General features: G+C 46.0%; 1 protein-coding gene and 2 long non-coding RNA genes across 33 annotated transcripts, besides 5 other annotated features; 2 read left to right on the top strand and 1 right to left on the bottom strand.

The window, feature by feature from the left end:
- The first annotated feature begins 688 nt into the window (after nt 1–688).
- On the top strand, nt 689–14,795 carry AJUBA-DT (AJUBA divergent transcript). Its single transcript, XR_007064074.1, has 3 exons — nt 689–1,185; nt 6,114–6,571; nt 13,539–14,795. It is a non-coding gene; the product is annotated as an AJUBA divergent transcript (long non-coding RNA).
- On the bottom strand, nt 2,259–26,508 carry C14orf93 (chromosome 14 open reading frame 93). 31 transcript variants are annotated; one of them, XM_047431671.1, is made up of 10 exons: nt 26,466–26,508; nt 21,430–21,452; nt 17,324–17,402; nt 15,419–15,521; nt 14,792–15,106; nt 12,313–12,633; nt 6,431–6,492; nt 6,107–6,210; nt 4,268–4,380; nt 2,259–3,999 (listed from the first exon to the last, which is right to left on the bottom strand). In XM_047431671.1, the coding sequence occupies exons 5-10, from the start codon at nt 14,846–14,848 to the stop codon at nt 3,580–3,582; spliced, it is 1,077 nt and encodes a 358-aa protein (XP_047287627.1). In that variant the 5' UTR covers nt 14,849–15,106; nt 15,419–15,521; nt 17,324–17,402; nt 21,430–21,452; nt 26,466–26,508; the 3' UTR covers nt 2,259–3,579. The 31 variants fall into 31 exon arrangements, with proteins under 31 accessions (XP_047287627.1, XP_006720295.1, XP_016877065.1 ...); XM_006720232.3 differs by lacking the exon at nt 21,430–21,452; XM_017021576.2 differs by lacking the exon at nt 21,430–21,452 and having other exon boundaries at nt 15,419–15,767.
- Nucleotides 3,096–3,205: a silencer, noted in NCBI's record as "silent region_5597". NCBI's record gives its function as "represses an Ori minimal core promoter by ATAC-STARR-seq in GM12878 lymphoblastoid cells {active_cell/tissue: GM12878}" and the evidence as "EXISTENCE:reporter gene assay evidence [ECO:0000049][PMID:35858748]".
- LOC124903286 (uncharacterized) lies at nt 18,791–25,349 on the top strand. The gene is made up of 2 exons (XR_007064075.1): nt 18,791–19,748; nt 22,933–25,349. It is a non-coding gene; the product is annotated as an uncharacterized LOC124903286 (long non-coding RNA).
- Nucleotides 23,006–23,375: an enhancer, noted in NCBI's record as "active region_8156". NCBI's record gives its function as "activates an Ori minimal core promoter by ATAC-STARR-seq in GM12878 lymphoblastoid cells {active_cell/tissue: GM12878}" and the evidence as "EXISTENCE:reporter gene assay evidence [ECO:0000049][PMID:35858748]".
- Nucleotides 23,536–23,585: a silencer, noted in NCBI's record as "silent region_5598". NCBI's record gives its function as "represses an Ori minimal core promoter by ATAC-STARR-seq in GM12878 lymphoblastoid cells {active_cell/tissue: GM12878}" and the evidence as "EXISTENCE:reporter gene assay evidence [ECO:0000049][PMID:35858748]".
- Nucleotides 24,309–24,869: an enhancer, noted in NCBI's record as "H3K27ac hESC enhancer chr14:23477153-23477713 (GRCh37/hg19 assembly coordinates)". NCBI's record gives its function as "activates a minimal SCP1, AML or CMV promoter by ChIP-STARR-seq in naive H9 embryonic stem cells {active_cell/tissue: H9 hESC(naive)}" and the evidence as "EXISTENCE:reporter gene assay evidence [ECO:0000049][PMID:30033119]".
- Nucleotides 26,497–26,846: a silencer, noted in NCBI's record as "silent region_5599". NCBI's record gives its function as "represses an Ori minimal core promoter by ATAC-STARR-seq in GM12878 lymphoblastoid cells {active_cell/tissue: GM12878}" and the evidence as "EXISTENCE:reporter gene assay evidence [ECO:0000049][PMID:35858748]".

A 27,670-nucleotide genomic window follows, 5' to 3' on the forward strand; every position in this document is an offset into this window, starting at 1 on the left:
TTGCAAATGAAAATGATCAGGATGGAAAAGAGGCTGATATTGACTATTTTAAAAGGATCAAGAATAAGGAAAAGAAACCCTGGCTGAAGCAGCCGGGCGCGGTGGCTCACGCCTGTAATCCCACCACTTTGGGAGGCTGAGGCGGGCGGATCACTTGAAGTCAAGAGTTCAGACCAGCCTGGCCAACATGGTGAAGCCCTATCTCTACTAAAAATACAAAAATTAGCCAGGCGTGGTGGCGCACGCCTATAGTCCCAGCCACTCGAGAGGCTGAGGCGGGAGAATCGCTTGAACCCGGGAGACAGAGGTTGCAGTGAGCCAATATCACGGCCACTGCACTCCAGCCTGGGCGACAGAGCAAGACTCCGTCTCAAAAAAATTCTCAAAAATAAATAATAATTTTTTTTAAAGAAACCCTAGATGAAGCTAAACATACCTAATTAAATACCAGCCAACGGCCGGGAGCGGTGGCTCACGCCTGTAATCCCAGCACTTTGGAAGGCAGAGGCGGCGGGATCACGAGGTCAGGAGTTTGCAACCAGCCTGGCCAGTATGGTGAAACCCCGTCTCTACTAAGAATACAAAAATTAGCCGGTGTGGTGGCGTGCACCTGTAGTCCCAGCTACTTGGGAGGCTGAGGCAGAAGAATCGCGTGAACCCAGGAGGCGGAGGTTGCAGAGAGCCGAGATTGTGCCATTGCACTCAGGCCTGGGCGATAGAGGGAGATTCCGTCTCAAAAAAATTTTTTAAAAACCAGCCAACTACTTTTGCCCAGACTAAAACATCAGGGGCAAGGGGTGGAGGAAGTAGAATGGAGAAGGAAAATGACTCCTTTGTATTTAGATAGTAAATGAGTATGAAAATTATATGCAAACAAGTCATGCATATTATTTTCATCTCAACATTTTGAACACCTTTTATAATCTTAGTGTAGCCTTAGGGAATGTGGAAAGAAACGAGGTTAATATCTTTTGGGAAATTAATTTGTGCCAAACTATTTGGCTTCTTCGTCCTAGTTGCATTGTCTCCCTGACCTCATCTCCCCTGAGAATCAGCCTCTGTTTCCCTGGTCAAGGCCACGGCTTTTCTCTGATCCTGAGGAGAGTTTCCTACCAGAGTGGAAGCAGGGAGGACTGAAAGCACTAGGAACAGAGGGGAGCTATCGGATTGCATCTAGAACCTGCTGTGAGCAACATCTTCAGAATTAACCATAATGTGTTCCCTCCTTTCCTGTGTCCAGATGAGGAAGGAGAACTTTGATTCTTCCTTCCAATTACATCCAAAATATCCACACAACTACTAATATTTGGAAGCTTTGATCCTTTGGGGTGAGGATGCGAGAGGAAATCTTATGAAATGTTGGGAGGCCATTAAAGGAGGCCCATGCAAGAGTTGGTGGTAGCAATGGGCACAACTGGGATGAACAGCCTGTGTTTTCAAGGGATAACTGGAAGCAGAGATGAGTGAAGGGGAAGAAGTAGAAGACGCATATGCTAATAGGGCATGCTCCAATAGTGCTCATGACCTCAGGTGGCCTCTCCACAGTCTAAACTGGAGCTGGGATCTCCAAAGGCCCTCTTCGTTCCCAAGACTTTAATTATAATCTGTATATGCAGGTGACTCCCTAATCCATATTTCCAGCCCAGTCTTTCTTGGAATTAAAAACTCAACTAACTACTAGCATCTCCAATGGCTGTCTCAGAAGCACCCAATATCCTAAACTGATCTCATCTTCTCTGCCTCATGAAACTGGCTCCTCTAACATTCTCTGAGTAAATGGCACAATCCTGTTAGCTGCTTAAACTAGAAATCTGAGCGTCAACCCTATGTCCTCCTTCTCCCTTAACCTCAAATCCAACCAAGTCCTATCAATCACCAAGTTCTATTAATTCTGCTTCCTAAACATCTTCCAAATCTGTCCTCCCCTCATCACCACTATATATGTCAAGTCACCGTCTTTCCTCTCCGAAACCAATGCAAAAGTCTCCTGGCCAAGGCTTGCTCCCTGCAATCCATCTTATACCCTGAGGTCAAGTGATTTTTTTCAGTACAGAAGCTTTACGACTTACAATGGAGTTATGTCTGAATAAACCCATCCATTATAAATTGAAAATATCGTAAGGCAGAAGTGCTTCTTCAACTTCACCATATTTTCAGCTTAAAATGGGTTTATCTGATATAACTGCATCATAAGGTGAGGAGCATACTGAATCATTTCGCACCATCGTAAAGTTGAAAAATCCTAAGTCGAACCATCGTTGAGTTGGGGACTGCCTGTAGGCAAAACCTGTCGTTTTATTTCCCTGCTAAAACAAACTTTCAATGATTTCTCACTGCCCTTGGGTTGAAGTCTGTACTCTGTATTATGAGGTCTGTCTCACTCTCCAGCCTCTCCTCTAGCATTATCCCTTCCCCAAAAGTCTGCAGTAGAACTGGACCTTGTCTGTACTCTCTCTTGCCCCTGGACTTTTGTACCTGCAGTTCCCTGTTTGGAACACTCTCTTAGCCTCCCCTTTCCTTCTGGTTAACTCTTCCCCAGTTTAGACATTACACCCTCTCAGAAGAAGCCTTTCCAGACTGCAAGAGTAGGTTAGCTACCCCTGCTGTATATTGCCATAGTGCACTACACTCCACCATGGTCACCCTTATCACAGTTCATTTCATTGCCTACTCCACTGCCTGGCTTCCTGACTAAACTAAAAAAATCTCTGAACAGCATCCAACCTTATCAACAATGTATCCATAGCACAGTACCTGACACCTAGTAAAGCGATCAATGTTTGTTATAAGACTGAATAAATGTAAAGCCATTTTTGCTTTTCAATCCATCCAAAATGCACACCCCTTCCTCAAAATACAGCTTGGCTGACAGGACCAAGAAACAGCTACAAAGCTGTGTATTTTGCTTGGTCACATAGTGAGAGAGAGGCTGCCGGTGAGACACGGGAACTCTTTAAGCCTTAATTTCCTCATCTGTAAGATAGGAATAGTAAAATTTTCCTCATGTAATTCAATAAACAATAGCTATTATATCAGGAACCCAATTCCCCAATAGTGATAGAACTTGTGTTCCCTTGGTCAGAAGACTCAAGCTCATGACTGAAACTGCCCACCAGGTGGCGGTATTAACCTGCACTGGTCATGTTCGGTTTCCACTGCAGAGCAAGACAAGTAGTCACAGGGAAGCAAAAGGTACAACCTGGGCTGCTTCCTCAGAGCTTTGGGTGGAACTGGGCAGGGGCAGAAACAACTCAGAGACAGGGCATATGTCAAGAAGGCCTCATGTTTCTTGGACCCATCCTCCTCATTTTCTCATCCCAGGCTTCTCCGAGATACTGTTTATGCTGAGGAATAAGCATATTCTGGCTTACTGTTCACAGTGGAGGGAGTTTCTCCCCTTCTAGATAAGTTTTTATCCCACCAGTGTTCTGCTTCCCCAGTAGAGACTGTGTTAAGAAAAGAGGCAAATTTGCTTTCTCAGACTGCACAGAGCATCTCATTATTTTGTGAAGCCCCATGGCCACCTATTTCTGAGACATGGGGCATGGCGGAAGCCAGAGTTATTCTTGGCTGTAGATTTTATTCATCCTTTTCCACCTTGATTTCAATGAATGAGTTCAAGTCAGGACAGCAGGTTTTGTGGGGTTGGTCAAAAGATGGGGAGCCAGGTGCATTCTCATCCCCTCCCTCATCTTCCTCTTCTTGGAAATTAGGATTGTAAAGTTCTGGTGGAAGGAGCTGGGCTTCAGCAGAAGGCAGTCTGTCTGAGGGAGGCCCATACACACGGTTGGCTTTGGTGCCATGCTTAGAGTTAGCATCCAGGTGGTAGCAGAGCTCTGTGAGGCGCTGGGCCCGGAAACGGGGAGGGCGGGCCACCCACACACCTGGCTCGTTAAGACTGTCCTCTTCATCTGACATCAGTTCCTCTGTCACATCATTCCACAGACGTTGGTCCTCAGGTCCAAAATGCCTCATGATACTGGATCGGTTGGCAAAAAGCTAAGGCAGGAACCCAGGAGATAGATTAGGAAGGTAAACATTCTATGGATTAGATTTGGGGAAAAGGTTTGGTGGGGAAGGCTGTGTAAAATCTGTGCCTAAGTGAACCCAGTCCCCAAGTCAGATCTTAGCATTGGCTCACTGTTCTTCTCTATCTTCCTACATTCCTGGCTCTCAACCCTATTCTCATATGCCATGTCCTCTGGCCCTTCCCACTTAGGAAAGGGTTTAGAGTTTAGTATCTTGAAAGAAAGGCCTAGAAACCTACCCGATATCGGCGACTTCGAAGTTTCTTCTCCTCTTTTTCCTTCAGGCCTTTAAAGGGGTTCAGGGAGTTGCGGTACTCACGCCTCTTAGTAAGGAAGTAGGCCACACAGGCTCCTGGCGGGGAGGGAAGGAAGGGAGCAAGAAGGAGGGTCCTCTGAGTAGTGGTCCCCAGCCCGTTTTTCTGCCCTAACACTATTGAATGGGAGGTTGGCGATCACTACTTAGATGAGGGCTTTTTTTTTTTTTTTTGAGATGTAGTTTCACTCTTGTTGCCCAGGCTGGAGTGCAATGGCACAATCTCGGCTTACCACAACCTCCGCCTCCTGGGTTCAAGCGATTCTCCTGCCTCAGCCTCCCGAGTAGCTGGGATTACAGGCATGTGCCACCACATCCAGCTCTTTTTAGTAGAGATGGGGTTTCTCCATGTTGGTCAGGCTGGTCTCAAACTACTGACCTCAGGTGATCCACCTGCCTTGGCCTCCCAAAGAGCTGGGATTACAGGCGTGAGCAGCCGTGCCTGGCCTAGATGCTGGGCTTTCTTGGCATAGGCATTAGCATCTTCACTCCTCTTTGGTTAGGATTCTTTTTATTTATTTATTTTATTATGATTTTGTTATGAGACAGGGTCTCGCTCTGTCACCCAGGCTTGAGGGCAGTGGCATGGTCATGCATGCTCACTGCAGCCTCCAACTCCTGGGCTTAAGTGATCGTCCAGCCTCAGCCTCCTGAGCAGCTGGGACTACAGGTGCACATCACCATGGCCGGCTAATTGGTTTAGCTTTCTTTGCCCACCTCCATCTCCAACACTAACTCCTCCCAAATATCTCCCACTGGAAAAAGACAACTCCAATCGCTTCTGTGTCTCCCCGCTCCCTCCACCAAATAAAACCTACCCCTTCTTGGGCGTGGTGGCTCACACCTGTAATCCCAACATTCTGGGAGGCCTCCTGCTGAGGCAGGAGGATTGCTTGAGCCCAGGAGTTTGAGACCAGCCTGGGCAACATAGTGAGACTCAGTCTCTATTTAAAAAAAAATTTAAAAACAACAACAATCTACCCCTATTGCCACTCTGATGGAAGATTACAAGTATTTTTTTATTTTTCGTTGAAACAAGGTTTGCCCACAGTGGAGTTCAGTGACACGATCTTGGCTCAATGCAACCTCCACCTCGCAGGCTCAAGCAATCCTCCCACCTCAGCCTCCCAAGTAGCTGGGACTACGTCATGCATGCCACCCCACCCAGTTAATTTTTGTTATTTTTGTTTGTTTTTGGTAAAGATTGGGTTTCGCCATGTTGCCCATGCTAGTCTCGAACTCCTGGACTGAAATAATCCTCCTGCCCTGGCTTCCCAAAGTGCTAGGATTACAGGGATGAGCCACGTTACCTGGCTCTACAAGTACTTTTTCAGCAGAAGCTTTCATAATACTTCAGGGTTAGCTACAAATAACAAAAGAGAGCAAGGAAAGAGAAAGCCTGGGAAATAATATTTAGGGACCAAGGGGCAGGCCTGGCTTCTGAACATAACACCTCCTCATAACACCTTAGATTCCTCCTCCTCGTAACACCTTAGGTGCAAGACCTGCATAAACAGAATGCATGATGCTGTTCTAGCCCTTTCCTTCTCTCATTTTCGTTTCAGACTGAGAGGGAAATAAACAGGCAATTTGAGATAATTCTATGAATATATTGAAGGTGAGAATAGCCAAAAAATGTTTCAAATCCACTATTTTCAAAACCACCTAATCATCTCTATTATTCCTCTTCTCCTCTGACCAAGAAAGAGGAGTGGGAGGAGAGGGGGAGAAAGGATGGCATAGGAGTTAAACCAGTTTTTCTCACCTTTTAGCTCCTTATCAGTGTAATTGTGGGGACTGGTCACCAGCTCTTGCTTGAGCTTTTCCAGAAGAAACTTCACTACTGAAATATTCCAAGAGGACTTGATGCTGCCACAAAGAGAAGAGAATGAATAAAGTTGTCGGCTTTGTAAGAGCCAGACAAACAGAGATACCCAGCACTAATCAACTTTGTGGCAAATCCCTCCACAGCCTAAGAAGGTATGGTGAGATCAAAGCCTTAGTCTCATTGCTGTATTGGAGCATCCCCCTCTACTTCCCTGTCCTTAGCAAAGTACCTTCTAATTCTTTTTCCTCAAGGAGACCATACCTTTCAGACCCATTGAATCTCTTGTCATTGGTGATGTGGTTATGCACATTGTGGACCAGTTTCTAGGAGGAAAAAAAGAAAACACAATCAAGCCAAGAGTGGATGTTATGAAAACTCTCCTCTGGTCCCTAGGGTAAAAAGGTATTGTCCCTAAGGGGCTCTCTGCCTGAATCCTTTCTAAGCCAAGAGCCTATCCAAGTTACTATTTCTAGTGTGGTCTTCCCTGACTTTTCATTTCATGTGTGTCAGGATTCCAGGATCATCCCTGGCCTTACTTCTGCTCCTGAGTAGTGTGATCACTGGAGCAGAGGGTCTCAAACATTTCCATGAACATACCCCTGATAGCAACGAGAAAGCAAGTATACACCAGGAGTACTGCGAGTGAACATTTCTTTTTTACTTTTCTTTCTTTTTTTTTTTTTGAGATGGAGTCTTGCTCTGTCGCCCAGGCTAGAGTGCAGTGGCGCGATCTCGGCTCACTGCAACCTCTGCCTCCCGGGTTCAAGCGATTCTCCCGCCTCAGCCTCTCGAGTAGCTCAGAGTACGGGCACCTGCCATCATGCCTGGCTAATTTTTGTATTTTTGTAGAGACGGGGTTTCACCATGTTGGCCAGGCTGGTCTTAAACTCCTGATCTCAGGTGATCTGCCCGCCTTGACCTTCCAAAGTGGTGGGATTACAGGCATGAGCCACCACGCCCAGCCAAGTGAACATTTCCTGAAGTCCCCTTCTCTTGCACTTTTTTTTCTTTCCTTTTCTTTTTTTTTTTTTTGAGACGGAGTCTCGTTATGTCGCCCAGGCTGGAGTGCAGTGGCACGATCTTGGCTCACTGCAAGCTCTGCCTCTCGGGTTCACGCCATTCTCCTCCCTCAGCTTCCTGAGTAGCTGGGACTACAGGTGCCTGCCACCACGTCCGGCTAATTTTTTGTATTTTTAGTAGAGACGGGGTTTCACCGTGTTAGCCAGGATGGTCACAATCTCCTGACCTCATGATCTGCCCGCCTCGGCCTCCCAAAGTGCTGGGATTACAGGTGTAAGCCACTGCGCCCGGCCCCTACTCTTGCACATTTAAATTTTTTCTTCAAAATGTATTTGTATTTCTTTTCTTTTTTTTTTTCTTTCTGAGACAGAGTTTCACTCTGTCACCCAGGCTGGAGTGCACTCATTAAAAAGTTTTGCCAGCCGGGCGCGGTGGCTCATGCCTGTAATCCCAGTACTTTGGGAGGCCAAGGCAGGTGGTGCCATCTCAGCTCACTGCATCCTCCGCCTCCCGGGTTCAAGCAATTCTCCTGCCTCAGCCTCCTGAGTAGCTGGGACTACAGGTGCACCACCACCACATCCAGCTAATTTTTGTATTTTTAGTAGAGATGGGGTTTCACCATGTTGGTCAGGCTGGTCTCGAACTCCTAACCTTGTGATCTACCCACCTCAGCCTCCCAAAGTGTGCTGGGATTACAGGTGTGAGCCACCGCACCGGGCCTGTTTAATATAAAAATGTCTTCTGCAATTTTTCTTTTTTCTTTTTGAGACAGAGTCTCACTCTGTTGCCAGGCTGGAGTGCAATGGCGGGATCTCGGCTCACTGCAACCTCCACCTCCCGGGTTCAAGCAATTCTCCTGCCTCAGCCTCCCGAGTAGCTGGGACTACAGGTGCACCACCACCACATCCAGCTAATTTTTGTATTTTTAGTAGAGATGGGGTTTCACCATGTTGGCCAGGATGGTCTTGATCTCTTGACCTCGTGAACCACCTGCCTCAGCCTCCCAAAGTGCTGGGATTACAGGCATGAGCCACCGTGCCTGGCCATCTTCTGGAATCTGCTAGTAAAACTGATGACCCAGGCAAAAGCCCCGGGTTTGTCTGTGGCTTTATGTATTTCTTCATGTGTTACCACAAATCTCTGGAGTATATACACCATGGTCTGAAAAACAGAAATCTAAAATAACAGAAACGTGAATCGGAAAAGACCGTGGAGGCTATATTATATTACCCAATCTCCCTTTCACATCATTAAACAGGCTGTCTTTCCACTTTGTTTATACCCATCTAATGATGAGTTCTCCATTCTGAGTCAGCTTATTCTATTGTTGAACATTTCTACTCATTAAAAAGTTTTGCCGGCTGGGCGTGGTGGCTCATGCCTGTAATCCCAGTACTTTGGGAGGCCAAGGCGGGTGGATCACCTGAGGTCAGGAGCTCGAGACCAGCCTGACCAACATGGTGAAACCTCATCTCTACTAAAAATACAAAAATTAGCCAGGCGTGGTGGCGTGCGACTGTAGTCCCAGCTACTCAGGAGGCTGAGACAGAGGAATTGCTTGAACCCAGGAGGCGGAGGTTGCAGTGAGCTGAGATCGTGCCACTGCACTCCAGCCTGGGCAATAAAGTGAGACTCTGTTTCAAAAAAAAAAAAAAAAGAAAGAAAAAGTTTTGCCTTAGATGCTTCAAAATCTGTTCCCAGTTTTGCCCATAATAGCACCTAAAATATTTATTTATTTATTTATTTATTTATTTTTATTTTTTATTTTTTTGAGATGGAGTCTTACTCTGTAGCCCAGGCTGGGGTGCAGTGGCGTGATCTCGGCTCACTGCAACCTCTGCCTCCAGGGTCCTGGTTCAAGCAATTCTCCTGGCTCAGCCTCCCTAGTTAGCTGGGATTACAGGAATGCACCACCATTCCCAGCTAATTTTTGTATTTTTGGTAGAGATGGGGTTTCACCATGTTGGCCAGGCTGGTCTTGAACTCCTGACCTCGTGATCCACCCACCTCGGCTTCCCAAAGTGCTGGGATTACAGGCATGAGCCACCACGCCCAGCTTTATTTATTTATTAAGAGACAGAGTCTTGCTCTGTTGTCCAGGCTAGAGTGCAGTGGTGTGGTCTCAGCTCACTGCAACCTCCGCCTCCCAGGTTCAAGTGATTCTCCTACCTCAGCCTCTCAAGTGGCTGGGATTACAGGCGCACGCCACCACGCCCAGCTAATTTTTGTATCTTTAGTAGAGACGTGGTTTCACCATGTTGGCCAGGCTAGTCTCAAACTCCTGACCTCAGGTGATCTGCCCGCCTTGGCCTCCCAGAGTGCTGGGATTACAGGCGTGAGCCACCGCACCCGGCCCTAATGCAGGGTTTTAACATGTCCTTCAATTAAGTTTAGTTGTTTCTGATTGTATTTTCATCCCAAGCTCCCTCAGTCAGTGGAAGTTACCCAGTCCCAAACTGACAGATTAATATCCTGATCCAAGGACTTTTCAGCTCCATATTCAGAAATCCCCAATTTATCCTTCTACCTCTATGGCTGATTCACCATACCAACTTAGGAAAGTATTGTCAACTCTTTATGGCTAGGGTCTCCACTCTGTAAAAAGGACCATTATTATACTAGCTGCATATTCAACATAGTTATTTTACCTCTTAGTAGTCCACACTTAAGGAATCACAAAGGAGTGGGCGAATGTTTCAGAAAGTATTTGGGAGAGTTTCAAAAAAACAAAAAACAAAAAAAGGGGAAAGAAAAAAGGGAGTTACAAAGCTTCCAACTCAAGTGGCTTGGAAGAGATCAGCTGATAAAAATCAAAACAGGCTTGACATGGAAAGGGAAAATACTCTAGACAATAAGTGTGAGGACTGTAAAGGCTGTTGGCTCACCTACCTCCTGAATAAGCTAAAAATATTTCCCCAAGGAGTGGCTGGGATCTGCAGCATTCCAAGGAATTAAGAATTCTGGTTTGATCCTTTTGGTTCACAGGATCCCTAGCAGCAATCCTCAAGAGCCTCAGCAGATTGGAGAGATGCCTCTTTGATTCTGTCCCAGAGCTAAAGATTGGAATAACTGTCCCTCCCCCTCTAAACCCACAGTCTGCCACAAGAACATTTTAAACCTTCCTCCATGATGGGCAGCAGAACTCCCTGACTAGTCCTCCAGATCCTTCTCAAGCACAGAATAGAGAGAGCATGATGGTGAGTGAGGATACTGTCCTTCCTGCAGGTCTTCAGTTCCACCACACTCTCCTAAGGGAAGGAAGAAGCCAGGCCTCAATGCTGTACCTCTCTCTGGAGGCAGCAGGCACAAGTGGAATGGAAGTGATGGAAAATCCTGCTTTTATGCAAATTGTAACTATAAACTCATTATAGTCAATATGAACATTGTATGGCTAAAGAATATCTCCAGCCAGGCATGGTGGCTCACGCCTGTAATCCCAACACTTTGGGAGGCCGAGGTGGGTGAATTGCCTGATCTCAGGAGTTCAAGACCAGCGTGGCCAACATGGTGAAACCCCATCTCTACTAAAATACAAAATTAGCCAGGCGTGGTGGTGCAAGTCTGTAATCCCAACTACTCGGGAGGGTGAGGCAGGAGAATCGCTTGAACCTGGGAGGCTTGCAGTGAGCTGAAATCACGCCACTGCACTCCAGCCTGGGTGACAGAGCGAGACTAAAAACAATATCCCCACAGTTGTCAGAAAAAAGCTTTTGTGAGACCAGCCTGGGCAACTAAAATACAAAAATACAAAAAATAAGCCAGGCATGGTGGTGCATGCCTGTAATCCCAGCTACTCGGGAGGCTGAGGTGGGAGATCACTTGAGCCTGGGAAGTCGAAGCTGCAGTGAGCCATGATCACACCACTGCACTCCAGCCTGGGCAATGGGAGTGAGACCCTGTCTCAAGAAAGAAAAAAAAAAAAAAGAAGTTTTTGGGTACAGAGTTGATCCCAAAGACTGTGGTCACTTTAAAGAAGGTTTCTCAACCTCTTCACTATTGGCATTTTGAGCTGGATAATTCTTTGTTATGGGGGCTGTCGTGTGCACTGCAGGATGTTTAGCAGAACACCCACTAGATGTCAGTAGCATTCTCCTTCCCCTGCCCCCGGCCACCCACCAGTTGTAATAATCACAAACGTCTCCAGATGTTTCCAAATGTCTCCTGAGGGTAAAATCACCCCAGGTTGAGAACTACTGCCCTAGAACTTCTCTAGGTTTGGTCAGCTGCCAGGATGGGGACTCCCAGCTCAGCAGGATGTTCTTTGGGCTCCCAGCCACGCCAAGAAGTGTTCAGGCAGACCTGGTTCAGGCCAGTCCCTTCCTGGCTAAGAGCTCTTGGAATGACTGGAATCTCCAAACCTCTATAACTGAGCTGAAGGTCTAGTGACTCTCTGCATCTCTGAAGCTTGAGACCACCTCAGGACAGCTTCACTTGCTTTTCCACCCAAGGTGCCCCTTGTCACTTACTCTGCACACTAGCTTAATTTGCAGGCAATTTCCAGAGTTACCCTTTGGTGACCAATCTGCTCAATCCCTTAAAGATCTTCTCATCAGGATTATTAGAACACTAGGAAGGCTGGGCATGGTGGCTCACGCCTGTAATCCCAGTACTTTGGGAGGCCGAGGCGGGTGGATAACCTGAGCTCAGGAGTTCGAGACCAGCCTGACCAACATGGCAAAACCTGGTCTCTACTGAAAATTCAAAAATTAGCTGGGGGTGGTGGCACGTGCCTGTAATCCCAGCTACTCAGGAGGCTGAGGCAGGAGAATCGCTTGAACCTGGGAGGTGGAGGTTGCAGTGAGCTGAGATCATGCCATTGCACTGCAGCCTGGGTGACAGAGTGAGACTCTGACTCAAAAAAAAAAAAAAAAAAAAAAAAGAACACCAGGAGATGTGATATAAAGGAAGATATCACATTATCTGGAAAAGCCTAAAAGCTTGATGTTTAGCAGGGGACTTCCTATCCCTAGTGTTACAGAATAACCTCTCTCCTTATCCCTCCCACTCTGGTAGGATTCAGTACAGCATTCATTCAATATGGGAGGCCTAAAATCAACCCACCCATCACTCTTCACTTATCTCTCCAGACTGAAGAAAAATTTATAGAAACTGAGCTCACTCACAGAGAGTACAAGATCCCGCTTGCGCCTGGAGTTCTTCTGCCCACTTCCTCTGGTCCTGCATGGGGAAACGGTCAGCCCTAGAGAGTGTCTCAGCTCCCCAGTGCTCCCAGGGCCTGACTCTTCCAAGGCACTGTCCAGCGCAGCAGCGGCATTGAGCATGTCCTCAGGGCGGGGTGGTGGCAGCTTGGTTCCATTTTCTGGTCCTGTCTCTGGGGTTGCCCGCTGGATTGCCAGTTGTGTGGCTGGTGAGAGTTGCTTGGCATAAGCAGGGACCAGAACTCGCTGTACTGCACCCTCAGAGGCCACGTAATCATCCACCAGCTAAGAACATAAAAAATAATAGCCTATTAGCCAGCCAGGCTTAGGGGAACCTGGTTAACCATCATTCTTTGGCTAAGAATAGTGAACAGAAAGTGGAAAGAAGGGGAACTCTAGCACAGTCTTTAATGGTCAATGGCTTGTTTCTCTGGGACTCCTATGAGTGTTGGGCAAATATTTCTTGTGTGTACAGGGCCTCTCATGTTGGGTTGTTACCATAGGGCTGCTCACAAGGAGAAAGCATGTTTCTGACACTGTTGGTGAATAGTCATTTATGGATAGCTCTTGGATATAAGAAATGGAGCTAGATAAGTGTTTTGTCTGAAAGGACTGGGTGAAGAAGTGATGACAAGAAAGAAACCAAGCAAGAGAAGGAGTAAGAAAATAAAACAGTAACAGCAATAAAGAGGAGACATAAAAGACAAATGAGCAAAGGAGGAAGACATAAAGTCAGAAATCCCTAGAGAGACTGGCAGCAACAGCTCCCCTCACCTATCCTCCATTCCCAGAGTCAGTCCATGCCCTCACCTTGATCCTGCCCCGGCCACATTCGACTGTCATAGCCCCTGACATCTACCTGACTGCCTGTGCCCTCACTCAAGGACATACAGAGCCGGGAAAGGAAGAAGGGAGCAAGGGAGAGAGGGAGGAAGAAAGGAGGGGGGATTTCTGCAGTCAAGAAAACAAAATACTGAAAGTGGGGACACACACGCACACGCACACACACACACACACACACACACACAGAAAGATGCGGGGGAGGAGGCTGAGATTTATAGACCTGTGAGCTGCTTTCTGCGCTGTGAAATCTAATTCCATCCTGTCGGCTTGGAAGCCTTTCCTGCCTCAAAGAACCCACAGCTCAGGGCAATGCCTAGCCTGGTACCTTTCTGCCTCCCACCTTCCAGGTCCTCCCTTGAGCTGGAACCACGGAGAGTCCTGACCAGCCACAGACTGGGGTGAGCAGCAGTGGCCATTACCCATATGGCTGTGCCTTCAGGAGAGCAATGACCAGTTGCTGTGTTACACTGGAGGGGGAGAGAGGGGTTTATGTATTCATTTCTCAGATCCAGCAGATGGGCTGGGAGTTTCATCCCTCCCATCTACTCCATGTGTTCTGCTCCTTTACTCTTTACTGGGTGTCTATGTCTTGTTGTGGGGGGAGGAGAAAAAGAGAGGACAGACGGAGAATAAGGTGGAGAGCTGACAGAACTCCAACCGTCTCTCAAGTGGCACCACATCTGTTATTTTCCTATCTCTAAGATCTCTATAGTTGCTCCATCTCCTTTTCATACTTCCATGTGTGACATTCTGCAGTTCTTACTCTACTCAGCCAGGATTTTCCTGCTCATATGGCCCTTAAGCAGTAAAGAAACTGAAATAGCACAATGTACATCTATGTCTTTTCCTGCTCACAAAATATGCTTGCTTGCTTCCTTCTTTTCTTCCCTCTTTCTCCCTATATGTTATTCTCTTACTGTTAACAATCAGTTGGCCATTTCTTTTTCTCATTTCCCATTTTATTTCCTTTCCTCTACCTCCCCCTCGCCTTACCTCATAGTCTCTCTCCCGTGGTGTAGATTCTCTTTCCACATAGATTCACCTTTCTTCTGTGCTCCCTTTTTTCACTTTTTCTCCTCCCTCAGCCCTTCATTTCTACTTGTCTCTTTCCCTCCCTATACTTGTCTTCTATTATCTTTATCTTTGTCCTCTCACTTTTTCCTCCTCTCTCCACCTCTGCCTCTCTCCCCTGTACATTCCCATCTCTCTTTGTACTGAATTCCTCTTGGCAAGCAGAGGGCCTGCGATAAAATATGAATGAGCCGTCTGTGCACGGCAGGCATCCTCGCCAGGAGAGGCAGAGTCCATGGAGCAGCCGAGACAGCTGTGGAAGAGAAGGTGCCATGCGGAGCTACTGAGAGAGAGGGAAGGGCACCCCATCACTACACACAGCAAAAAATGACCTTCTGCCAAAGAAGCTGATGGTTCAGGAAGAAAATAGAGCTGACTATCCCTGAAGGAAAAGGAAACGTGGTACTGTTTTGCTTTATCACAAATACAAACAAAAGGTTTAAAGATGGAAAGAAAAGAACAGAAAGGAAAAAGAGTGAAAAGCCAGGAAAAGCACCTAGGAGGAATAGCCCTCTGCTGCCATACTCACAGGATTGAGCAGGGGGGCCGCCTCGCTGGCAGCCAGCGTGCACCCTGGGAGCCGCATGTCCCTCTGAGTTGCTGGGAAGCCCAAAGGCCCAGGCCCCACTGAGGCTGCTCCCAGCTGCCGCAGCTCCTCAATCACCACCTGCACGCCGCTGCCCACGCTGTCACACTCCTCTTCCACGGCAGACAGAGCCTTAAAGGCTTCCCCGGGACTTTCCTTGAGAGGCCCAGGCTCCTCAGGTGGGGAACTATGTGCCCGGCTTTCCCCATCTTCATCAGGGATGGACACTTTCCCTTGCCTCAGGTCACCCACTTCCTCCTGGAGACGTTTTAACAACTCATTGTTGGCCCTGGCAAGACCCAGAGCAGCTTCAGCCAAACCCACTGCCTTATCGACCCGCTGGTAGATAACATGCAGGAGCTGCTCTGAGCTCTGAACAGCCAAGCCATGTCCAGTCACTGTGATGGGGGTGCTGGGAGGAGGATTCCCACCCTGGGAGCCTGTGTTGCCTCCATTAGTCTCACTCTTACAGGCGCAGCAGCAGCATCTGGCCTCGCTGCCACTGGGAGGGGAGAAGAGAATGGTGGCACTGAAGGACATGGCGGATGGGGCAGTAACAACCACGCTTACACTGCTGGGCCGCTCCAACAGGTAGGAAGCATCAACTTCTCTGGACTCACTTTCCTTTCTCAATGAGGATGGTCAGAGGAGCCCAGGCCCCAAGCTGTAGGGTCTGTGAAAGAAGAGTAAACAAGCCATGAAGAAGCACACAGTCCATGGCGGCCTCTCCTCGGCCTGCAGAAGGGAGACAGGTGCCTTCTATTTGCAGATCCTGTGCTCTCCTAGCACATCACAAATCAAGGCCTTCCTGATGAACGGTTTCAGACGGTAGAGAGCATTCCTTCTGCCCCCCAGCATGGAACCCCCGACTAGTGCAACCTAAGGAACAGGGAAGGGATTCAGAAGGACCTTCCGGCATCTGGAAAGATTAGAAGATTAAGGAAGAAAATGTAGATCTGTCTCCTCCTCCTCCTCACCATCTTTACTGTAATAATGGTACTGCATTTCATTGCTTTGACATTGTTCCTTAAGGTGTTCAGAACACTTCACATAAGTTACCTCATCTACTCAACAGCACTAGGAAACATATTACTCCAGGTCCAGAGAAGAGACATGTGGAGAAGTTATATGTCTTTTTCAAGGTCAGAGGAATAACAGCAGAATCCAGTTATTGCTACTTTCAATGTAGTGTTGTATTTTTTTTTAACTGATACCACTTTTTGTTGACATTAACAATCATGACAATCATGATTCTACCCTCTCTGTAATTTTCATACAAATGCATTCAGAGTAACACTCCTAAATAAGGAATACATCCATCACTGCAGCCCTCAGCATGTCACCAACTTCTCACTGTTATATTATATCATTAATGCTTTGGGGATGAGGGCAGGGAAATGAAATGAAAAGATCAGGGAATTGAGCTGGGGTAACCCAGGGCTGCACAGCCCCCTTTCCCACATAGTCGTGTACCTGGGCCATGAGCCTCTGTAATGGAAACTAGCTGTCCTGAATCTTCCAGCCAGGAGCCCAGAGAAATCACCCGTGGGGCCCCTTATCTTCATTTCTCAAGCTCCTTAAGGGTGGATCCAAAATTCAACAGGAATGTTTGAACAGCTATGCTGTCACTTTGCCTGCATGACCAGCCCCCATTAAAGGAGAAACCAGAATGTCAGTAATAAACCAAACTGCCTTTCTTTTAAATTACTGTAGTTAAGCAACTAAACTACTCCAGGAGAGAAAAAAAGGGGTAAAGAAGTTGATTTGTACCACTGAGAACACTCCCGGGAACTTAATAAATATTGTAATTTTCTAAATAATACTTGATGATAGAAAAAAAATCCTTCTGATGTGCCATGTCAAAACCTTAAGTATGTTTACAATTTCTCTGAGAGATGCATTTCTCTCTTACCCTGTAAATTAAAACATCACAATTAAAAGGAGAGGAGGAGCCGGGCATGGTGGCTCACGCTTGTAATCCCAGCACTGTGGAAGGCTGAGGTGGGCCGATCACCTGAGGTCAGGAGTTTGAGACCAGCCTGACTAACATGGTGAAACCCTGTCTCTACTAAAAATACAAAAATTAACCGGGCGTAGTGGCGGGCATCTGTAACCCCAGCTACTCGGGAGGTTGAGGCAGGAGAATCACTTGAACCCGGGAGGCAAAGGTTGCAGTGAGCCGAGATGGTGCCACTGCACTCCAGCCTGGCAACAGGGCGAGACTCCACCTCAAAAAAAAAAAAAAAAAAAAAAGAGTAGGAGGTTAAGAGAATTTTCTATATATTGAGGGTTTTCTTTTTTCTTTTTGAATAGGCAATCTCATTTCAGAAAGAGGCAATATCAATGCCTCTGAGGTACTAAAACATAAATCTGACAATGCATTTTAATTACATGTGGTTATTAAAGAATAGTCTTTAATTTGCTCTTTCCACCCTTTATATCGAAGAAATGGCTTTTTCTGTGCCAGATACTTACTTCTCGCAAAAGCTTAACTCAAATACATTTACAGCTTCCTTGTCATTATAGTCACTGGGAGGCACAGCTAAACCTGAAACTAAAGGTTAAACCAAATTAAAACTAAAGGTTAAAGGAAAGCACTAAGCACTTCTATGTCAATTTATAGATGAATCACTTATGTATTCTTTTCCTTCCTAAATAAGGGCCTACACTGCTCCTGCAGAGCTTTTTCTTTTTAATTCTTTATTTAACCTACATCATGCAGGGAGTTTGCTCTTAAACATAGATGCTGTGGGCAAAAGAATGTTTTGGTGATAATAAATAATAGTATTCAAATGCTTGCCAGCTGGGTTCAGTATTTGTAAAATCAGTAATTAAGATGCATCCGGCTGGGACACTGGCTGAGTTGTCTAACTCCTTTCTGGTACCAAACTCTCTTGCCTCACGCACTTACTCTTTCTTGCAAGAGGCTTTTACCCCTACCAGTGTTGAGCCTGCCTCAAGCTCTTCCCCTCTCTTTTATTTTTATTTATCATTTTTTTGAGACGGAGTCTCGCTCTGTTGCCCAGGCCAGAGTGCAATGGCAAGATCTCGGCTCACTGCAAGCTCTGCCTCCCAGGTTCAAGTGATTCTCCTGCCTCAGCCTCCCAAGTAGCTGGGATCACAGACACGTGCCACCACATATGGCTAATTTTTATATTTTTAGTAGAGACAGGGTTTCGCGCTGTTGGCCAGGCTGGTCTTGAACTCCTGACCTCAGGTGATCCACCCGCCTCAGCTTCCCAAAGTGTTGGGATTACAGGTGTGAGCCACTGCGCCCAGCTCCTTCTTCTTTAAATAGTCTTTCCTTGGTCGTCCTTCCTTGGTCATCTTTCCAAAACAGCACTGTACTGCAGGTTAAAAAAAAAAAAAAAAAAAAAAAAAAAAGGGCTGGGCGGTGGCTCACGCCTGTAATCCCAGCACTTTGGGAGGCCGAGGCCGGCGAATCACGAGGTCAGGAGATGGAGACCATCCTGGCTAACACAGTGAAACCCCGTCTCTACTAAAAATACAAACAAATTAGCCGGGCGTGGTGGCGGGCGACTGTAGTCCCAGCTACTCTGGAGGCTGAGGCAGGAGAATGGCGTGAACCCGGGAGGCGGAGCTTGCAGTGAGCCGAGATCGCACCACTGCACTCCAGCCTGGGCGACAGAGCGAGATTCCGTCTCAAAAAAAAAAAAAAAAGGGTGGCCGGGCGTGGTAGCTCACACCTGTAATCCCAATACTTTCGGAGGCTGAGGTGGGTGGATAACTTGACGTTAGGAGTTCTAGACCAGCCTGGCCAACATGGTGAAACCCTATCTCTACTAAAAATACAAAAAAATTGCCAGGCATGGTGATACTTGTCTGTAATCCCAGCTACTCAGGAGGCTGAGGGAGAAGAATTGCTTGAACCCAGGAGTCAGAGGTTGCAGTGAGCCGAGATCACGCCACTGCACTCCAGACTGGGTGATGGAACGAGACTCCATCTCAAAAAAAAAAAAAAAAAAATGAGGTTCTCCTCTGGCTGCACCATTTATGAGCTGTGTGAACATTAGTAAATTATTTCACTTTTCTGAGACCAAGTTTCTTCATCACTATCTACTTTGAGTGGTTTTTGTGAAGATTATACATAATATATGTAAGGCACCTATAGAGTGCTGGCACATGGTCAGTGCTCCACTAGTAACGGCTGGATGATATTATGGTTATTCCTGTAACATTTTGTGTTCCCAACCTGGACACCCACCCTGATTCCTTAATCTTTTTTTTTTTAAGAGGCGGGGTCTTGCTATGTTGCCCAGGTTGGTCTTCAACTCCTGGCCTCAAGCCATCCTCCTGCCTCAGCCTCCTGAGTAGCTGGGATCACAGGTGCGAGCCACCACCTTGATTCCTGATTCCCTAATTTTGAATAAAATGCAATGGCTTGAAATAGAATTTGGGGAAATTTGCCCCCAAATTTAATATTGAATTTCTAACAAACAACACATTCCTCAAGTCTATGAGGATGCATTTATAGATACAAAACCTTCTATGACGCAAATTAGAAAGGTAATTTAGTATTTGTAATTTACTTGCTATCATGACCTGGTCTCAGACTAAGGATAATATTTTATGCTAGTTTTTAATGCTAAATGTATTTTCCTATTGTGAGTTCAATTTGTTCCTCAATTGCTCTTCTGTTTTTCTACTTTGTATGTTACCATACTATGTCCATTTTAAAACATCACATTCAGGGCAACAAATAGGTGTTTTCCTGAATTAATTTGCCTATAAAAACTAGGTACAGTGTGGTCTAGCACAATGGGCATTCAAAGAATTCTTTTTTGGTTTCCATGGACACTATTGCTGACTTCATTTCCCAGCCTCTTGCTATAGTCTCTCACCTAAACTCTAAGATATGGAAAGATATTGGGATCAGCAGGTAATAAACGAGTATTTCACATTATATTTACTAACCAGGTAACTACTTAAGTGCTGGATAAATGACTCAAAACAAAACATTAATTTCATTAGCTGCATATACCCCCATTAAAGAAGGTGAGCTGGGCCAGGCACGTGGCTTACGCCTATAATCCCAGCACTTTGGGAGGCTGAGGTGGGCGGGTCACCTGAGGTCAGTTCGAGACCAGCCTGGCCAACATGGTGAAACCCTGTCTCTACTAAAGATACAAAAAACAAAACAAAAAAAAGTAGCCGCGCATGCTGGCGCGTGCCTGTAATCCCAGCTACTCAGGAGGCTGAGACAGGAGGATGGCTTGAACCCAGGAGGCAGAGGTTGCAGTGAGCCAAGATCACACCATTGCACACCAGCCTGGGAGACAGGGCGAGACTCCGGCTCAGAAAAAAAGAAGGTGAGCTGGTGAGTGGGGTGAGATATTTTTAGGCTAATATATTCATATATATATATATATATATATATATATATATATATATATATTTTTTTTTTTTTTTTTTTTTTTTTTTTTGAGACAGAGTCTCGCTCTGTCGCCCAGGCTAGAGTGTGGAGGCACGATCTTGGCTCACTGCAACCTCCACCTCCCAGGTTCAAGCAATTCTCCTGCCTTAGCCTCCAGAGTCGCTGGGACTACAGGCATGTGCCACCACTCCCAGGTAATTTTTGTATTTGTAGTAGAGATAGGGTTTCACCATATTGGCCAGGCTGCTCTTGAACTCCTGACCTTGTGATCCGCCCTCCTCAGCCTCCCAAAGTGCTGAGATTACAGGCGTGAGCCATCGTTCCCGGCCAAAATATATATATATATATTTGATACAGAGTCTCACTCTGTCGCCCAGGCTGGAGTGCAGTGGCACGATTTCGGCTCACTGCAACTTCTGCCTCCCAGGTTCAAGCGATTCTTCTGCCTCAGCCTCCCGAAGAGCTGGGATTACAGGTATGCACCACCACACCTGACTAATGAATGCTGACCTCAAGTGATCCGCCCACCTTGGCCTCCCAAAGTGCTGAGATTACAGGTGTGAGCCACTGTGCCCAGGCCCAAAAGTTTTTTATATGTAAGTCCATGTTAAAGGATGACTCACCAAAATGCATTGCACACTACTCAAATGAAAGGAAGACAAAGTCTCTACCTATAAGGCACTTAAAGTGTATTTCAGATGGGAATGTCTAAAGAATATGGGATGTTCTAAACATGGACTATCTAAAAAACAAATTGAGGCCAGGTGCAGTGGCTCAAACCTATAATCTCAGCACTTTGGGAGGCTGAGGCGGGTAGATCACCTGAGGTCAGGAGTTCGAGACCAGCCTGACCAACATGGAGAAACCCTGTCTCTACTAAAAATACAAAATTAGCTGGGTGTGGTGGCACATGCCTGTAATCCCAGCTACTCGGGAGGCTGAGGCAGGAGAATCACTTGAACCCGGGAGGTGGAGGTTGCAATGAGCCAAGATCGCACCACTGCACTCCAGCCTGGGCAACAAGAGTGAAACTCCGTCTCAAAAATAAATAAACAAACAAATAAATAACAAAGTGAAATACACACAAGTCCTAATAATATGGTATAGACTGAAAAATTTCTGAGGCGTTAGTTCAAAATAATGGAAACATTAACAAAATGAAATCATACTGAGAAAGAGTTCTTACAGAAGAAAAGCTTCCAGTTGAGCCTTGAGCAATGTATAGGATTAACTGATAGGGTAGTAAGACATTCTAGAGGAAAAAAAAAAAATTACAGGACTTAACAGGGTACATGTCAGAGGTCAGAGCAAAGGCGCTTATATAGTAAGATAAGGAGAATTGACAGAGTTATAGAGATGGGGTATAGAGATAATTGGTTAAAGACAACTGCAAGGTTATAAGCCTAAGAGTAACAGGATGGTACCACCACCACCACCAGAATGACAGAAATGAGGCAGTTGAGAGGAAATACCATGGCTGGGCATGGTGGCTCATGCCTGTAATCCCAGCACTTTGGGAGGAGGAGGATCGCTTGAGCCCAGGAGTTTGAGACCAACCTCGGCAGCATAGCAAGACCCAGTCTCTAAAAAATAAATAAATAAAAAGAGGAGACACCAGTATATTAGAGAAGAAGTGTATTTATTTAACATTTTAAATTTCAAATGATGGCAACATGTTTAAGTAGAAAGTCCTGAAAACAACTGACTAGGTCTAAAAAAGAGAAAAAGATCTTCAATCTTGGGATGCGTTGCCAACACAACATGACAGTAGATGTCACACTTAGGTTTGCAAAAAATATAAGCATTTGGGGTTCATTTCAGTATTGGTCTAATTTAAATAAATGTGAAACGAGCCTTAAAAATGTACTTTCCAGTACTTTTGGTATTTTTCATAAATATTTAGATAAAAAAGAAAGACAATTCATCTCCTTTAGACAGACAGTTCAGGGTAAGACTGTCCATAATTTTAACTATCCCTTTCCTCCCAAGTCACATTTTTGTTAGGACTAAATATATCATACTCTTGGCAGTTCCCTTGCTTGCTTTCTCCCCATTCTGAGTTTGAATTTTCTGCATGACTGAGTTCACCTCCAAACTATGAAAAATAAAAGTTTTCTCACTATTTAATAGATGTGTATGATATGGTATCACTCAGATGATATATGTTTTTATAATGGGTGCTTGACTCATTCAGGGTCATGCTAGCAATAGACTTCCTTAAATGTGATTACTGAAAGCATGGCAATTCATATCATAATCTTCATTTTAAGAAATAAATAAGGAAAACGGCCACTTAAAGCTCCTGCTGTGTTGGTCAGTCCTACTCCTCCACTTCAAGGTGCAAAATGGCTCACCTGTCAAAAGGTTCTCTCAAAACCTATTTTTATCAGAAATGAGCTCCTTATCACACAAGAGCAGCTAAGTAAATACCACAAAATACTATTTTCCCACATTTTAAAAGAGTGACTCGACTAATGGTCTGCAAAAAATCCAAGACCTTATTTTTAGGGGTAAAAAAGAGAGCTGTAGACCCAGAAGGCCGAATGCGGTCTTTAAAGGATTCCACGTAATCTGAAAATTCCACGTATATTTCTATAGCAGGATGAGAATTTTTAGCCCAGTATAGCACAGTCCTTTTTATTTACATTTGCTAAGATTACATTGGTAAGATTAATATTTCCGATTTCAGGTTTGCCTAAAGGACCCACTGCATTTATGGAGAAACTGAAAAATGAAAAAGTAGCTCCTAGAACTCGTGCCAGCGAGAACTTGGTAAATGTTAGTTGATTAAATATTAGTCAAGGATGACAAGGTGGACCCCAGGGAGGGCAGAACCGTTTCCGATGGGTCAGTGTGATTCAGCTACGGGAAAGGCGATCGCAGCGACGCGGGAAGCAGAGATCGGCGACTGCTCAAGAGGCCTCAGGGGACAGGGTGACTCGCCACTGTGCCCTACCATACAGTGCGCTCTGGGAGTCCCGGGTAAAGGGGGTCATTCCCGCGAGGGATGCGGAGAGCAGAGCGGCCGGAGGAGCGGCTAGGGATCTCGCCGGGTCACCGGGGAGGGTAGACTACGTAGCCCCGAGAGCTTTGAGAACTTGGGCTGAAGGCGGCGCTCGCCGTGAGAACTGACGCGGAGGTGCAGCTTTGCAGCCCTACAGATGTTCTACCGCGTGTGCCTGGCGCTACCGCACGGGCTGACTCAGCTAGGCAGAGGCGGAGGCGGGCGCGCGGGAGACAGAACTATCCGCGGCGCCTGCCCGTGTACCCGGCTACCGCGCGCACGCGGGGAGACACCGCCCCGTTTGCCTTCTGGCTCCCGGTGATTGGCGGTTAGACGATGGCTGGGGAGCAGGGTCACGGACACTATTGGCTGCAAACAACAGTCACTCAAAAAGTCAGGTAGGGGAGGGGCCTCCTCAGGGAGGGACAAGACTGTGAGGCTTTTTCAAGGCCGTCAGACGCCATCTTTAGCTTGTTTTTGTTTACTTGCTTTTGTTCTCTGCTGCTCACAAACCTGTGTGTACACGATTATAAGCACAGTGGCCACAAATCGGCGTCACACGTTGGGTGGTGGCCGACTTTTAGTTACTGCTGGCCTCGGTTACATTTCTTTCACATGTCACCTGCAAATTAGCAGCTCCTCACAGTTCAAAGAAGTTTCCAATACTAGGGGCCCCGAGGATTCCCAGGCAAAATCAACAGAGTTTAGTTTTGCTTTGCTTTGGAAGGCCAAGCCAACGATATATATGTGCGAGGAATTCTCTCCTTTCTTAGGAAGAAAAAGCAAGAACAGTGGATATGACCCTACGTTCCTGGATGTAGAAATCAAATAGCCTAGGAAATCAGGGATACGGGCTCTGCACTGTTCAGGGAGAGCTCTCCCTATTTTTTGAGACGCTAAAAAGTAAGGTAAAAAGTATATGTGATGACCTGTAGTGATGTGGAAAAGAGCTAAAAAGGGTAAAACTCCATTAAAAATTCCCGTAACTGGCCGGGCGCGGTGGCTCACGCCTGTAATCCCAGCACTTTGAGAGGCAGAGGCGGGCGGATCACCTAAAGTCAGGAGTTGGAGACCAGCCTGACCAACATGGTGAAACCCCGTCTCTACTAAAAATACAAAAATCAGCCCGGCATGGTGGCACATGCCTGTAATCCCAGCTACTCGGGAGGCCGAGACAGGAGAATCGCTTGAACCCAGGAGGCGAAGGTTGCAGTGAGCCAAGATCGCACCATTGCCACTGCAGCCTGGGCAACAAGAGCGAAACTCCGTTTCAAAAAAAAAAAAAAAAAAAAAAAAAACTCCCATCACTGTTGTGATCACAAAGATCACTAAAATGTGACTAGATTTCAAAGAAATGCAGGTCTGAAATTGTGGAATAATCCACAGTCGAGCCAGTATTTATTAAGCACTGGTCTGACTTGAATTGTTAGAGAATAAAAATACACTCAGCACAAGTAAGAAACCCAGAAAGCCCAAACAGGGCCACTTTTGTTATAAATTTGTACAAGTAACTTTATTGCAGTCAGTATTTAGGAGTCAAATACTGCTTGAAATAGAGTAGGATGCTAGCTGTGTAATAGAAATGCATTATTATACAGAAGTTTTGTTGTAATGAAATTTAAATTCTACAGTAGATTTTTTTTTTTGTCTCCTGGTTGTCACTGCATTTGTGACATTCCAGTTTCTCCCTCAGCACCTCATATACCTCCTATGCTTTCACTCCAATCTGCGAATACAAATTTGGATACAGATATTTTCCATACAACTTCTAATGAGGAGATAGTGATTCTGTAACAGAATGAAGTGAAAATAGGGCTCCTATAACAGGAGGTTCTGCTCTGCGAGCCTGTTTTTCTCTAATTCATATACTTTTTTCTGTGACTCTTAGAAATGAGAAGCTTTCCATTCTAAAAATGCAACATGATAACCAAAAGGCATTTCTTATCCCTTCTATTATTTGCCTTTGCATCCTCTTGGCTCCCCATCACCATCACCATGAACAGTTTTTGAGAATTACACTTGACTGGATTTTTTTCCTGATACTTTGCCAGCTGTGGAGCTTTTCGAATATTCCAACCAATAAACGACCATTTTGTCAAAAAGCCAAGAAAGAACTTCCCTTCTGAACACACCAACCAAACCACACATAAAGGCCAAAATATACACAGCTGTACACTTAAGAACGTGAGACAATAAAAAGCAAAACCACTTAGGCAAAACAGTCACTGAAGGCTTTGAACCACAGATTCAATAAATTGCCTACTCTCATTTGCCACATGGACTATATACTCCTTGGCAATTATTTAATTATTCATTATTCTGATCCTTTAGGAGCAGAAAAATATAGTAAATGCACATAGAAAGTGCCTAAGTATGCTAAGCATAGGATTTCTTCTAAGCTCTGCTTTGCACACAAAATATTTTGATCACATTTGGGAAGACAACGGAAAAAAATTCACATCCTAGGGGATACTTTGCACACATAAAACCAGATATATTTATCACTTTTGAAAATAAAATCTGATATGGCACATATACACACATATTGTACATATACACAAATAACCCCAAGTTATAACTTTACAAATTTGTTTCAAGAAACACACACACACACACACAAATGTTCTAATGAAAATGTGTGTGAAAGACACACTGTAATTAAGGTCTTTCCCCCTTCCCTAGGGAAATGAATGTCTCCATTATAATATCCCAATATTAACTTATTGGCCTTGGACAAGTGCCACATCCCAGCCACTTGGTTTTGGTTCTGGGGGGGTGGGTGTGTAAAAAGCACGCAAACGGCTTTATGAGGGAGCCTCAAATCTCTCTGCTTCCTTCGATGTTGCCTGTGGCAGAAATTTACATTATCCCTTCAGCCCGCTTAAAAAATTCTGTACTTCCCAAGCGGCTAAATTTTTAAAGTCCCTCAACCACAAAAATCTACCAGTTCTTAAAATGTGATTTAAAAAAAAGAAAAAAAAACTATAAATTTGGCCGGAAACGGTTGTACACGGCCATCCTGCTTCTCAACTTCTTGGTATATTTAAAACCTTGACCAGGAAAAAGAAAGAGGAAGAGAGACAGAAAAAGAAATGGGGGAAAGAGCAAATTCCCCTTAGCAACAGTTTCCTCACCCCAACACTGCTACAGATCTCTATTTTTAAAAAATTTGAAAACACACACAAGATTAAGGAGGAAAAAAAATGGAAAAAGGATACCCGAAGGTCGTATGGCTCTTTGTATTCGTGTGTGTGCAAAAAGGAGGACTCGCGGAGCCCGAGCCGGCAAGCCCCGCCCCTCCCCGGACGCCCTCCCGGATTGGCCGTCCGCGGCCGCGGGGCGCCCCGCCCGCAAGCACACGCGCCGCGCCCGAGGCGCCAACCCCGGAGTTGGGGGCGGGGGGGGCCCTGAGGGCCGCCGGACCCCCGACCCCCAACCTCGCCTGGACCTTGGCAGACCCCTTTCCCACCTCTCTCCCTTTCACTTTCTCACCGTCCTGTCACCCTTTCCCATCTTTTTTTCTCAGTGAAACAAGGCCCAGTCACCAGCATAACAATCCAGTGAGCGACCTCCGGACACTTTGTTAAATTGAGTGAACTAGTCAGTAACATTCTAGACTGCAATTAAACATCAGGGACTTGGTGCGTGGGCCCTACTCCGGTTTCCAGGTGAAATGTCTCTGGGTCACGTGTGTTGCTTAACACCCCCACGTTTAAATGAACATTCACGTATGGAACATCTTTCTGAAGTCTTACACTTCAGCCCGAGCTCCCAGTTTATCTACCTGGCTCAGACCACATTCTCAAAACTAAAGTGGCTCCTCTTTATTTCCAGGAAGACAGCTGGTATACCTGGATTTTAAGCCACCCATAATCTGGTCCCACCCACCTATTTGTTATTTATTTATTTATTTAGACAGAGTCTCGCTCTGTCACCCAGGCTGGAGTGCAGTGGTATGATCTTCGCTCACTGTAAACTCCGCCCCTCCGCCCCCACCCCCACCCCCACCCCCACCCCGCCCAAGCGATTCTCCTGCCTCAGCCTCCCAAGAAGCTGGGACTACAGGCGTGCGCCACTGCACCCAGCTAATTTTTTTTGTTTTTGGTAGAGACAGGGTTTCGCCATGTTGGCCAGGCTGGTCCTGAACTCCTGACTTGAGGTGATGTGCCCACCCTGCCTTTTTTTTTTTTTTTTCAGTGATGTGATCTCGGCTCACTGCAACCCCCACCTCCGAGGCTCAAGCGATTCTCCTGCCTCAGCCTCCCGAGTAGCTGGGATTACGGATATATGCCACCACGCCCGGCTATTTTTTTTTTTTAAGTAGTGACGGGGTTTCACCATGTTGGCCAGGCTGGTTTTGAGCTCTTGACCTCAAGTTATCCTCCCGCCTTGGCCTCCCAAAGTGCTGGGATTACAGGCGTGA

Source organism: Homo sapiens, chromosome 14 (genome assembly GCF_000001405.40).
Source record: "Homo sapiens chromosome 14, GRCh38.p14 Primary Assembly".
NCBI lineage: Eukaryota > Metazoa > Chordata > Mammalia > Primates > Hominidae > Homo > Homo sapiens.